The sequence below is a fragment of the Homo sapiens genome, chromosome 1 (genome assembly GCF_000001405.40).
Source record: "Homo sapiens chromosome 1, GRCh38.p14 Primary Assembly".
Classification (NCBI taxonomy): domain Eukaryota; kingdom Metazoa; phylum Chordata; class Mammalia; order Primates; family Hominidae; genus Homo; species Homo sapiens.
Genome location: NC_000001.11, coordinates 241,093,348 through 241,107,964, shown reverse-complemented (window position 1 = coordinate 241,107,964; position 14,617 = coordinate 241,093,348). Strand labels below are relative to the sequence as shown.

The window sequence follows — 14,617 nt, the reverse complement described above, 5'->3', positions numbered from 1 at the left end:
AGACTGCTTTTCTTACACTTTTTTCTGCTATATAACTTTATCCATGTATCGTTCAATGGGTTTTTATATTGAATAAGGTGATAACGAATGCCTTTAGTTTCTCTGCCCAGCACCCCTTCCAACTCCACCTCCAGTGTTATAAATCAAAGTTTTTGCCCCAAAATTCAGGTATGGAAATTAGAGAAGGAATTTCTCCTTGGGTTCATATAAACTTGTCAGCATTAAATAATGAGATTCAGAAAATATGATTAAGTGTAGAATTTATTTGAGCACAACGTTTGAGGCTGTCACCACCTGGGTAACACAGACTCCAAAAGAATGGGGTTAGTGCATCCAAGTGTGGAGGTAAGGTTTCACTTATATAGGTAGAGACAGAAATGTTAACAGAGTTGCAACATTTTTCATGCAAGACCAATTCTTAGATTATGTTACAGGAGTTTGATTAGTTATAGTTTACTACATTCCAAGGAAGACTGATTCGACATTTTATAAGGAGGAGTAATAGACTCTTATTTATGGCACCTTTCAGCCTTTCCTAATCATCCACAGCACAAGAGTAACATACTGTAATCTGTAATCGGAGAAGCAGGAATTGCAGCTGCATGCTATGTGCTCAGGCCATATAGTCACATTTTTCTCAAAGCTCAAATAATTTAAAGTTCCAACAGCTTTAAATTGGAATTATTTAATTTCACAAACTGTAAAACTCAAGCAGTAAGGGCAGCCATTTTTGCTGTTCTGTGCATTGAAGAACTAAGAGAGGACTCTAGGCCGAGAAGAAAAAGTGGGCTCACCACAAGGAGCAGAGTGGAGGGGGCAGTAAGCATGCCCTAAAGGCGGGCTGCTTATGAGACCCACTTATGTGCCCGTCTTCGAGTTCCAGAAGACATCCCACAGTACTTACAACACATTTCTTTGTTCATGACAATTGAATTTGGGATTCTGTCAACCCAAGTAATCCCAACAAACACAGTGAGCATAATTGTTTATTTATCTGTTTATTTATTTTCAGTGGAGGTTATATTCCTTGAGATGAATGAGAGAAATGATTTATTTAAAAAAAAAAAAGCAGAAACGTCTATAAATTAGAAAAAAAACCTCTACTTTATTTCTGCAAAATCACAAAAGGATAAAATTTCTAAGTTTCTAAGCTTCTAAGCTTTCAAATGAGTTATGTTATCGTGTGTGTGTGTGTGTGTGTGTGTGTGTGTGGTGGTGGTGTTGGTTTTTTTTTTTTTTTTTTTTTTTGGAGACGGAGTCTCGCTCTGTCACCCAGGCTGGAGTTCAGTTGCGCGATCTCGGCTCACTGCAACCTCCGCCTCCCAGGTTCAAGGGATTCTCCTGCCTCAGACTCCTGATTAGCTGGGACTACAGGCACCTGCCACCACACATGACTAATTTTTTTGTATTTTTAGTAGAGACAGAATTTCGCCATGTTGGCCAGGCTGGTCTCAAACTCCGGACCTCAGGTGATCCGTTGGCCTCGGCTTCCCAAGTGCTGGGATTATAGGCATGAGCCACCATGCCTCACTGAGTTACTGTTTTTTAAATAAATAAATCTATATTTAAGTTAAACTAGGACAGATTTACATGCAATAAGATTTTACTAGTTTCTATTTTTAGTCGATTATTCATGAAAATGGCAGTTTTTTAATATGAAAAGAGTAATTAATTCTGAGTTAAGATACTGACTGCAATAAACTATAACATGGGGAAAAATCATATCAATTAGAAGCAGCTTTAATTGAATTATTACAGCAGAAAACAGTTTGTCTTGCAAATTTTAATCTCATTATTCTTAATTTAACTTTCATTAGAGACTGACTCTACTTTCTCTGTTTTCACTGATGAATTCAGAAGTGTAAATGATTTTCTGCATTCGAAAGGCTTTCTGAAGTAAAAAGAGTTATAGGCGAATTTAAATTATGAAAACCTGCCACCACCTAACTGCCCAAGAAATCCAAGAAGCGCTTCAGTGATCATTTCTCCCATTTTCATAGCTAGCACTTAAAATGACAGTACACACCATAATTTGAAAGTATGTGCACATAGAAAAAAGCCATTCAATCTGCCCACTTAGTCTCCCATTTATATCTCCAAATGCCTGTGCTTAATGGTGGTTGTAAGGCAGAGTTGGAAAACTTCTTCTGAAATTTTGATTGATTCATTTCTTTTTCAGAATTACAGAGTACAAAACGTTTTAGCTTTACTTCATAACAAATGTTTTGCCTACAGTCATGGTGTCTCTGTAAAGCGATTGGCTTAATGAAATCAATAATAATGATATTGTGGTAAAGTTCCGGCAAATATAGCTACAAGTTAATTTAATTAAACTCCCATAATTGTTTAGAACATTAGAGAACTGGAAAGGTTTCAAGGCAGTGATTTTGTTTTCATCAATATGTGGGAGCCCTGTCTGGCAGCCCCTCTTGAATAATTAGTAACTCTCTTCAAAGAAGATGGACCTGTGTAATATGCTCCTTCTTTCATTCCGCCAAGTGTTCGGGCGGGAACTGTTTAACCTGAGCCTTTTTGAAATACATCACAAGCTTGAAGTGACATCTAAACTATTCCAAAGGAAATGCTAATTATGAATTCCTGAGAAAAGAGCAGGGTGTTGAAGTTCAATAGTGCCTTTCATCTTGAGGGCTTACACATGGCAATGAACTTGAGTGTCACATCTACAAGCAAGAAGACAGCCTCATCAACAGCCACTGATTTACTCTCTTGCATTAAAGGAAGAAATTCCTCTAACAAGTAAGCTGAAGTATCTCTGCATTAGATAGAGCATAAAGGAAGAAATTCCTCTAACAAGTAAGCTGGAGTATCTGCATTAGATAGAGCAGAAAAAATAAGAGGGATAAGAGTGTTTTAACCTGCCCTACGCTGAGCTACTCTGTGTCACTATTTCTGATGCTGATAATGTATTTTTCACAAAAGTTACATACAAAGAAAAAAACATATCAAACATCTCAAGACCAAATCTTAAATTAACTTCCACTTTTGTTTTGAGGCTCTCAGAAAATGCAAACATATGCCTTAAACAAAAATACATCAATCCCCTCTTCTCTTTTTAAAGTGAGCCTCCATTATGGACCAGACACTTTATATATTAACAATGCAAAGATGAGTAAGGTAAGAATTTTTTCCTCCAGAAGTTTACATCTAAGGGAAAACAGATAGTTTTACTAGTTAATGAAATATGGAGGGTTCTGTAACAGAAGCATAAAAAGTTTTGAATGAGTTCAGCAATACATATTCTCAAAATTACTTTGTAAAATACACTTGTTTAACTTTTACTTTTATCACGCATAGTGAATCAGTTTGCATTAAAAAATTAAGTCTTGCAAACAGCACTCAATTTAATTTAATTTTTAATCTAAATAACTTCAAGAGGCAAATTTGTCAAGAAAAGATGACAGCAAAGACGTTTTCATTTTGTTAAAAGTGAATGCCATCTCATTTCCCTTTCTAAATATGATTTTTTTCATAGCTTACATAGCCTTTGCTTATATGCACAAATATTTCCCCTGACATTTCTTCAAATCAAATCTCCTGTCTTGCAGGGGCCAACATGAACTCAGTTTTTTACAGGAAATCAAAGACAGAGCTTATGTATAGGCATCTCTGACTACTTATTGCTTGACAATTTATTGCGTCTAACAAATATTTGCACTTAACTACAGCATCTTTGCCGGCTGAATTATAAAAGAAAAAGGATCCGTATCTTCCTAGTACAACGATGAAGGAAGAAAATTATGTTGATGATGATGATGATGATGGTGTTGGTGGTGGCATCATAGTAAGCATTTAATTAGCATTGTTTCACTAATTCTCACCCTTGATAAGATGTATACAATTTATGATTATCTCCATTTTACAGATGAGATAACCGAATCTTTGAGTGTTAAATTAACTCACCTGTTCAGATGGCTTGTAAGTAGTACAGTCAGGATTCAAACTCAGGTCTAACCGGCCTAAATGCATGCTTTTAATAACTACGTCTTGCATTGAAACTAAAATGTGCTGACAATTGGAAGCAAATACATTTGTATAAGGTCTTGTTTGATTATTTTATTTTATTTATTTTTGAGACAGAGTCTCATTCTGTAGCGCAAGCTGGAGTGCAGTGGCAGGACCACAGCTCACTGCAGCCTTGACCTTCCAGGCTCAAGAGATCCTCTCACTTCAGCCTCCTGGGTAGCTGGGATCACAGGTGCTTGCCACCATGCCCAGTTCATTTTCATATTTTTTTTTAAGAGATAGAGTTTTGCCATGTTGCCCAAGCTGGTCTCAAACTCCTGAGCTCAAGTCATCCTCCTGTGTTGGCCTCCCAAAGTGCTGAGATTACTGGCGTGAGCCACCGAGCCTGGCCTGGTTTTATTTAATTTAATAGCTTCATCTATTTGTCTGTAACAGGGAATTGGCTCTTTGACCTAGTGTGGAAACTTACCTCCTTCTGAATGCTGATGATTATTTCCAGACTTCAATCATTTTGTAGCTAGGAGAAGTCTTACAGATCATCTACTTTGAACTTCTTAAGAGTAAAGAAAATAGCCTTCAGAAAAATCCTCGGTGACCCAAGGCATGCCAGCTCTCCTGCCCATGCCCATCGTCTAGTGTTCTCTTCTCCCATGCCCAGTTTCCTCACCCTCAGAAACAGGCTTATGGAAGTGAAAACACACAACTCAATGGCATTTTAATGAATATATGCATGTGCATATATGTGTGTGCATACACATGTATACATGCATATATATGCGTGTGTGTAAGTATATATATATACACACATATATATACACACACATACATATATATATGGGATACTTGAGGTACCTGAGTCTTTTGGCCTTAGACTAAATTGCCCCAAATATTTTCATATTTATTGGAGTTGCTTTTTACTATCCCTCATACCTCTTACTGTCTAACTAACTTGCTCTGTTTTTTTTTTTTTGCTTGCTTGTAGCATTTTTCTTCTCATCCAATTGCTGTTGCTAATAGTGGGAAAACAGACCATCAAGCATGTTCAAGTCATGCTTAATATAAAAATTAATAGACTCTGAGTGAATGCTCGAGGGAACATCAACAGATAAGATGCATGTGTTTTTTTATGTGGACTTGGTGACTGTGACAACCAAAATGAGTGATTGAGACATAAATCTCAATCACTGAAGCTTGTTGAGCCAGCTTGAGGACAAGTTATGGATGCCTGTTTGGCTGTTTTTCCCAGAGGTTCTTAGGAGGTTTAGTATTTATACATTTTCCTTAAAAAAGAGGAGGCAACAGTGAGAGGAATGATTACATACTTGCGAGACTTTAATTAGTGCCCTGTAAGTTTACTTTTTACATAAGATAAGGTGAACATTTGAAAAAAAAGGGAATGGAGGGAGCAGACATCCCAGAGAGGAGTGAAGGAATGACTGATCTCATTTTAGCTTTGTTCTGTCCTGGGAAGATAAGTCATTAATCAACATTATCAATGTGGAGTCTTTCAAAAGGGTCAGTTTCTGTTTGCCCCTTAGGGAAGAAAGGCTGATAGTGGTTAGTGAGGAAGGGGTACAACGAGGTGTGTCCCACCCCCCATCCCATCATGGCCATGAACTTAGCTTCCAGGGTTTCCCTGGGGTCCCGTTAGCCAAGAGGGGGTCCCTTCAGTCATTTGAGGGCTAGAATTTTCTTTTTCTTTTTAATTGATTTTAGTTTTTAGAAAGCAGGGGTTTTTTTTATGTGTCTTTGTTCTTCATTTTGTTGTTGTTGTTTTCTTTTGTTTGTTTTTGTCTCATTCTAGGCCATGAGAAGGTTCACGGATAAATTATGTCTGGATAAAGATAAAAACAGCTGAATGCATGTACATGATCACGTTTTCAGTCTAGAACACCAATCCTATTTTTACTTGGAGTTAAAATTTTTTTCTCTTGTGGAAATGATGACTCAGAAAAATGGAATATTTTGGAATACAACCACAGAAGTCACTTTTACTTTCCAGCCTCCTATTCTCACTCCTTTGGGATCCCATGAACTGAGAGGGGATGAGACTATACAAAGAAAACACTGCCACTCATAGCTACGCACCTAAATTCAGCCCGAAGCAGAGGTGACTGCTGCCACATCTCTAGGTGCTGAGATGAAAGTGTGAGTCAGAGAGGTTTCCATGTCCCTCTAATCCAGCCTGCTTTAAACCGTTAAGCAGATAATACAAGGGTTTAGAGGCTGATATGAGGCAGGACAAAGCAGCTTATTCTGCATTTCTGAACATTGTGGCAGGTCAGTCATGAACAAATAGTAACAAAATAAAAAGTCATCAGAGTATGTCTATTTTCATGTTTCTATACTTAGAGATCTTTATTACAGATCTTTATTACAAAAGAAGTGGGGTATTTGGTATTTGGTTATTGTTGGGGTCTTTTACAGGCCTGATAAAATCATTTTTTTTCTTTCTTTTTTATTTATTTATTTATTTTTTGTTTTTGAGGTGAAGTCTCACTCTGTCTCCCAGGCTGGAGGGCAGTGGTATGATCTCGGCTCACTGCAAGCTCTGCCTCTGGGGTTCAGGTGATTCTCCTGCCTCAGCCTCCCGAGTAGCTGGGATTACAGGCGCCTGTCACCATGCCCAGCTAATTTTTGTATTTTTAGTAGAGACAGGGTTGCGCCATGTTGGCCAGGCTGGTCTGGAACTCTTGACCTCAGGTGATCTGCCTGCCTTGGTCTCCCAAAGTGCTGGGATTACAGGCGTGAGCCACCGTGCCCAGCATCATGTTCTTTTTATACTTGATTTCTGAGCCAACTGAGAACTATAACCATAAAGACAGGCACGTAGGGGTCACAACATCACCCTGATTGCTGATAAAGGTATTATGGAAGAATGTTTGTGCACAAGTCACTGTTAATCCTGAAACACAATCCTGAATAGACTTGCTTACCCACTAGGGCAGGCATCTCTACATCAGCAGAGTTAGATGTGGGCTTCTAGCCAAGAGAAAAAGAGTGGGCCCTGCAGGCCAGTTTCTCATTCCCAGCTCTTCTGTCTGATAAGTCAGCTCAGCTCCCCTGGAGTAAATTAGGGGGCAGAGACAAGGCAAGGGGATTAGGGTAATGGCGCTCCTTCCACATGGAAAGAAACATGAAGGTGGAGAATAAGCATCCCCAGATATCGTGGGTGTGCATGGACATTTGGTCTAATATTTGTTGTTCTATATATGTACCAGGCTTTATATATGTTGTATCATTTGCCCTTAAAATACTTTACCCCACCCTAGGCCCAATGCAATCCCATGAAGAACGCTATGAAGAAATTATTACAAGTATTATTATCACCATTTTATGGATCAGAAAACTGAGTCTTAGAGAGGTTATTTAACTTACTCAAAGAACATAGATAATAATTACAAGAGCTAAGAGTCAAATACAAACCTGTGTTTCATTAAAACCCATTCTTTCCACATCTCCAGTTATTTGTCATAGTAATACATCTGTTCATAGTGTGATTACAACATAGTAATACATCCGTTGATACCAAGAACATTAGATTTCTTAGCTGAAAACCATTCTAAAGCTATGTTGATGGAAATTTTTTTTTTTTTTTTTTTTTTTGAAATGGAGTCTTGCTCTTTTGCCCAGGCTGGAGTGCAGTGGCGCCATCTCGGCTCACTGCAAGCTCTGCCTCCTGGGTTCACTCCATTCTCCTGCCTCAGCCTCCCGAGTACCTGGGACTACAGGCGCCTGCCACCGCGCCCGGCTAATTTTTTGTATTTTTAGTAGAGATGGGGTTTCACCGTGTTAGCCAGGATGGTCTCGATCTCCTGACCTCATGATCCGCCCGCCTCGGCCTCCCAAAGTGCTGGGATTACAGGTGTGAGCCACCGCGCCCGGCCAATGGAAATTTGATAATTCATTAATATAAAGTTTAGACTGTGTTTTTTTTAACTGTTTACTTTGAAATAATTTTAGGCTTATAGATAAAAAGAAAAGATAACAGAATTCCCATACACTCTTTACTCAGCTTCCCTTAATGTTAATATCTTACATAACCATGGCATAATTATCAAAACAAGAAATTAACATTAGTACAACACTATTAGCTAAACTACATACTTTACTCAGATTTCACCTTGGTTGTCACTATTGACTGAATTTTTTGAGGGTAGGAACTGTATTGTATGCATTTTCATATCCACGGTGCCCAGTCATATGTCTGGTGTAGAGTTAGTGATAAGTGGTTGTGGAATGAGTAAATGGATGAATGGATTTTAAGTCCCATACTACCACTTGGGTATGTTTGTGTGTCTCTGCATCTCCCAGGTTTAGAAGCACATGAGTAATGTCTGTGGCTATGATTTGAATGAATGAATGTTCTTCAAAACTAAATTCCACATTGACTTTGTGAAGCACAGCCCTTTAGAATTACCAGCAATTTGTAAAAGTAAAAGAGAGTGTACTAATGAGATTGAAACAAAGATAAAGGGGAATCTAGTAAACGGACAGAAGGCTGTGGTGTTACATTCATTTTATTGTATACATATGTGTGTGTGTGCATGTGTGTGTACATGCACGTGTATGTGTACTTGTGTGCATATATGTGTGTGTGTACATGTGCATGTGTGGAGTGTATGTGCACATGCATGAGTGTATGTGCATGAGAGTGTGTATGTGTGTGTATTTGTTTCATAACACACTTCAGTAAGTACCCGGGCAAGAGATGTAATAGTAGTTGGCAATCAGTCCTGGATTTCTAGGCAGGTTTTAGAACTTTATTGTAAAACAAAATCACGGAAATTCTCTTGCTTGAAGAAGCAATTCAAGCAGATGCTTTTAAGGCTCTACTTGCTTTTGCACTGATTTCAGTAGAGGTAACATTAATGAAGCATGAATGTGCTATGACAATGGTTTCTAAAACCTTGTGAAATAAACACTCTTTGATCTTAACCTTTATAACCAAGGTACATGAAATCAGGAGAAAGGCAATATTCAAAGCACAAAATTCCTATTGGTAGCTTAATGGGCCCTAACATGGCTGTTTTTCTTGCTGTTTCCTCCATCTCTTTTTAACAGTATTTAAACTATTAATGTGGCAAAAACTAGAAAGGCAAGAATACGGCATTGTTCTTAGTTGGGCAAAACAGGAATACAAAATTGTTATGAGAGCTGATTTTTTTTCAAAAAAGTTCAACTTTATAAAGGTTTTAATTATGTTATTATTGTTTAGATGGAAGACGTCATAGCACGGATGCAAGATGAAAAAAATGGAATTCCTATTCGTACGGTCAAAAGCTTTCTTTCCAAGATACCTAGCGTCTTCTCTGGTAAGTCTGCATGGAGCACAGTTCTGTTTTCTCCTGTACCTCTTAGATAACTCTTTAAAACTGATTCCAGCTGTTCACTATTGAAACTCTGTCTCTAATCCATTATTCAGTAACTACTTATAAAATGCCTGTGGTATATTTATCATGTGAAACACTTGAAATGATAGTAAAACAAAACGCCAAAAATCATGACCCTGCTCTAGGTTAGTTTGTAAAGACCGAATGAACAAATGCGAAGTAAAACAATATTAAAATAAATAAAGACGTATAAAAAACAATGTTATGAAGGTTGTATATGGAAATTAGGAGGGTGAAAAAAATCAGTGATTTCTTTTTCCTGACTGATGGGGAGTAAGGAAAGGGTTTCTGCAGAGCAGTGGTGAGCTGTTTGAAAGATGAGGAAGAGCCATACTCGCTCAAGACCGCTGTCACCACCAACTGTGCTCACCGAACTCGACAGTGACCAAACTGTAGAGAACTTGGGTCAGGTTATGAGGGTCTGTGAAAGCTAGCCAAAGAATCTAATTCTGATAAAAGGGGAAATATGGAGACATTTAAAATGTTTGGCAGAGGATATTGTGATGAAAGTGCTCGGGATAAATTGGCATTCAGTAAGGGCAATAGCACTGTGACAAGGGTAAGGCTGTTGCAGGAACAGGTTTGGGTGCCCAGGTCCTGATATCCAAGGGCTGAAGGAATAGAGAGGAAAGAGCGTGAGGGTTTAGTGAATAACTAGGCATGCAGAATAAAAGACATAGCCCAATGGATTTCATTTTTTTGTTGTTGGTGTTTTATTTTAAAATGAGGAGACTGAGAGAGGAAAGAATCATTATCCAAAATGAGGAACCCCCGCGGGTTTGATTGGCAATGACTGGAGAAACCCAAGACACAAGGAAGAGTAATAAGATAAGCCTCTGTGCTCTGACTCCAGGGGGCAGTGAAAGTGCCAGTTTTGGGGCCTGGGATGTGCTGGGGCATGGCCTGGCACAGCTTAGGAAAGAGGTGAGATCAGACAGCCCGAAGCCTCAGCAGCGAGGAGGGAGAAGAAGGCGGCTGATGCTGAGTGTGGCTGGGAAGGGTGCTTCATGGGATTCCTGTACAGGGGTTGCAGGCTGCTTCCTCATGACCAGGATCAAGAGAATATTCATGATCAGGAAGCTGTCAAGCCTAGGAAGAGGGTAGAGATCAGGACAGGAATAATAGGGAAGCGGCCTCCGTGTCGGGGTTTGATACCTGTGTTGCTGTCAGAGAGAAGAGAGGGAGCTTGGAGCTGAGGAGAGCTACTGTGGAATGACATTTTGCTCTAACAAAATGTGTCTTCTTTTTTCCCTGTTACTCCCTCTTATGCCCACTTCGTTCTAGTTTCTTGCTTTTTCTCAATGATGCCTTGCACTTTTTACATCTGTGGCTTCACTCCATTTCTCCTCTCCTCACCGTCCCACTTACAGGCCATTCTGCTTGTTAAATTCCATCCATTCTTCAGTAGTCAGTTCAGAGAGCTCATTGGTGAAAACTCTCCTGAAGCTTTTGCCTCTGTGCTCTCAAAGGCCTTGGTTTTTGCATCTCTTGTACGCTCCACTTTGTCTTAGAGTTATTTTGCACATGTCCCTAGCTAAACCTTAAGCTCCATTTGGTCAAGGATTCAGAGTTAACTCCACATCTAAACACGCATATAAAAATGTTACTCATATATATATTGATGAGCTAATGAAAGGGGTGAACTTATCTCCTTTAGAATTCAGGCAGATAAATGCACTACGTTGCCATCCTGCACTGGGAACTGGTCAGTTCCACTGTGTATGGCCTGCTTAGAGGCATTCTAATTCAGGAATTATGAAAATACATAGGCTAAACAAAAAACTTTGCTCATCTGATTAAGTTTGGCTGCAATTTTGTGATACCCACTCTAGTGGAGTCTAAAATTTTTGATTGAGTTCTTCAGATAGCAAATATCTCAACAGCAAGCTGTTGGAAGAATTCTTGGTTGACAACATTAAGATTTTAATTGAAAAATAAGATTGGACATATAGATTGAGAATTAACCTGGGAATCTCTAATAATTGTTTTAATGTTCACTGCTGTAAAATAACAGTGGTAGCTATTCAATAAAGAGAATATCAATGACATTTTTCACGTTAATGTAATTAGGTCCAAGTAATCATTTTATATTCCCTGGAAACTTTGCAGGCGTGCTCTGCCTCGTAGGTTCAATTAGATGCTTTGTCGTGGATTTAGTTGGTATATCTAGTATTATGTCTAGCACTTATCAGCTTCTTTATATTAATATTCCCAAATTATAATGTTCTCAAGCTCCATTCACTTTACTAGAAGTTTTCAGTCTTTTCTAGTTAGTATCCCTCCCCAGATTTTTCTTATAATCTGTGGGGATTGTTAATTCCTCTATTCTTTTGTGGCCCAACTCGCAACGGACTGCTGGCTTTCCCAGCTCTTTCAGCTTCCCCCTTCTCTCCCTGAGCATGTTTCATGGTCTACTGCAGAGCTTCTAATGAAACAAGGAATCCGCTGACTTTATTGCCCTTAGTAGAACCAGAAACCATTGTGATGAAGTCCTGCCATATGTGAAAGGAGGGTAGTGCAGTTGTTGCAGACTGGAGTCAATCTTTGCTATGGACTGTTCCACACGGAAGGAAGGATCGCAAATGTTGTAAATCTAACTTTCTCAAGTTACCAATTTGTGCTCCTTAAAGCCTCATTACTTCCATGGACCATTAGTATCAGAATCACTTGGAAACTTACAGGGAGAGATGTGTTAAAGAATGCGAAATTACAGCCACATAGTTCCAGTGTTCTATGCCACCGTAGAATGACTATAGTTAACAATAATATGTTGTGTAGCTTCAAATAGCTAGGAGGACATTGAGCCGTCCTGACAGAAAGAAATGATAAATATTTAAGATAATGGATATGTTAATTACTCAAAAAGGATAAATGTTTATCATTTCTCACTTTTCATTATTTATCACCATACATTATTTGTTTCTTGTTTTGTTTTGTTTTTTGATACAGTCTTGCTCTGTCACCCAGGCTGGAGTGCAGTGGTGCAAACATGGCAGCCTCACCCTCCTGAGCTCAAGCAATCCTCCTGCCTCAGCATCCCAAGTAGCTGGGACCACAGGCACCTGCCACCATGCCTGGTTGATTTTTAATTTTTTGTTTGTTTGTTTTGGTAGAGACAAGATCTCACCATGTTGCCTAGGCTAGTCTCAAATTCCTGGGCTCCAGTGATCTTCCTGCCTTGGCCTCCCAAAGTGCTGGGATTATAGGAATGAGCCCAGCCATCATATATTATTTGTATCAAAACATCACTATGTATCCCATGAATATGTACAATTATTATTTGTTAATTTTAAAAGAAAATATAGTATCTGGACCCACCCCCAGATGTACTAAATTAGAACCTCAATTTGTGCACTAAAGTTTAAGACATATTGCCTTAAAATGCACCCAGAGAAGCTGGGCAGCTCCGGGGAGCATGCTTGTTTTATTGAGAGCTCTGGGATCAGTGGCCACCTTGCTTGTGCCAATCTTTTTCTTTGAAGGGCTCTAATCATCTCTGCAGTCTGGCCTCAATCAAGGCCACCCCAGCCTATCTAATGACTTTTTAAAAAAAATTTTACTTGGGGAAGGAAAAAGCAGTTAGGAAGAATAATCTAGTTCTTTCTCCTTCCTTTACTCCCAAGCTGAGAGTCTCTGTTGCCCCTAAGATTGATAGCTGTCAACAGCTTTGTGGGAGAATGAACACTACCCAACTCCACCAGACAACTCCCATGCTTCAAAGGAAAACATAGGTCATGGTGGCCAAGTAATGCCCATATCCACCTCAAGTGAAAACAGCTGTGTTGAGAAAGTGATGCTATAATCCAATTCCCCCTGCAACATCTGCAATCCAGACCCAGATCATGTCAAAGAATGCAATGACAAATATAATCTACCTAATAATAGGGTTTGTGTTTTGTTTTTGTTTTTCCTGCTAAATGCATTTTGTCCAGTGAAACATCTAAGACTTTTCTTTGTTTTTGTTTTTGTTTTTGTTTTGGTTTTAGAGTTGTTGATTTCAACCTCCTGGTTTCCATAGTCCCAAGACCATAGGACAGTATCTTTGGATAATTCCTCTATGCCATTTCCTTGAACTCTGAGATGAGAAATGTCCTTGAGTGCATCCAGTCACAGCATTACCTTCTTCTCCAGAAGTGCCTTCTCAGCTGCAGAGATAGCTCAGGCAGCTGCACAGGTTGTATGTGACCTGGTGTCTCAGGGCCAGGGAATGAGATCAGTGGTGTATGTACATTATAGAATTTGACTAACAGCTCTCTCCCCTGGGCTTCTGTTGAGATTCCCAGAACTTTGGTGAAGTGTGTGTGTGACTCTGTGTGTGTGTGTGTGTGTGTGTGTGTGTGTGTGTGTGTTTATGTATGTCTGGCACTGAGGCAATGTAACCTAGGGGCTGGGTAATGCCCCTGTGCAGAGAGCAGCAAAGGAAGCCTGTCTGCAGTTGAGAACAGTGAAGCATGTAAGGAAGGAGAAGCAGAGAAGATAAGGCAGAGAGTACTGGGTTACTGGTAGCTTTGCAGCTCTTGCCCCAGTCCTCAGGCACAGTCCAGCAGTCTGCACAAACTTCCTTCTGGTTTCTTCATCTCCTTCAATCCTCCACAGTAAAACATCTACCTTTTGTTTCACTATGTTTTCGACTTCGACTTCCCTTTTCTAGCTTAAACTTTTCCCATCTCAATATTTCTTCTAATTATACCTAGGAGTCATCCCCCATAGCACATGTATTGGACACAAAGTATTTATGGTTGCAAAAAAAAAAGGAGTGTACATGAAAAATGTTATAAAAGGAGAATATTTGGGATTGATGAAATGCCACTCTGGAGTATGGCTGCAATAAATTCTCTGGAGAAGGTCTTAGGAATGCAGATTTCAAATGCAAACCACAGATATTCTAATTCATTAGTGCTGAGATGGAACCAGGGAATCTATAATTTTTGTTTTTATTTTACTTTATTTTATTTATTTTTTCCCCTAGATTAAATATTAAGCTCAGGTTATAGAAATATGTATTTTTAAGCTGATTTTAAAAATATGGGATTGGTGTCTGCTGGTCTTAGATGCATGCTAACTACGTTTTTCTTTATATTTTTAATTCAATGCAATGAACATTGATCAAATACTCACTATGTTCCAGTAACTATACTGGGTTTTGTGGGCTAGTATTTTACCGTTGCTGGGGAAATAGATTACATATACATTAGCAATAAACGTGTAACTAACTTGTACGAGGAACCAAGGTAAGTTCC

General features: G+C 39.0%; 1 protein-coding gene across 22 annotated transcripts in view; it reads left to right on the top strand.

Annotated features, from left to right (window-relative positions):
* The window catches only part of RGS7 (regulator of G protein signaling 7), a 582,489-nt gene that overhangs the window by 249,266 nt on the left and 318,606 nt on the right, over nucleotides 1-14,617 (top strand). For 20 of the 22 annotated variants that reach the window (NM_001374806.1, NM_001374811.1, NM_001374814.1 and 17 more), the window contains one exon: nucleotides 9,203-9,299. In NM_001374806.1, the coding sequence (NP_001361735.1) occupies nucleotides 9,203-9,299 (97 nt within the window). Of the gene's footprint in view, nucleotides 1-5,747; nucleotides 6,133-9,202; nucleotides 9,300-14,617 lie in introns of those variants that run through there. The other 2 variants (NM_001374808.1, XM_017002009.2) reach the window with 2 other exon arrangements.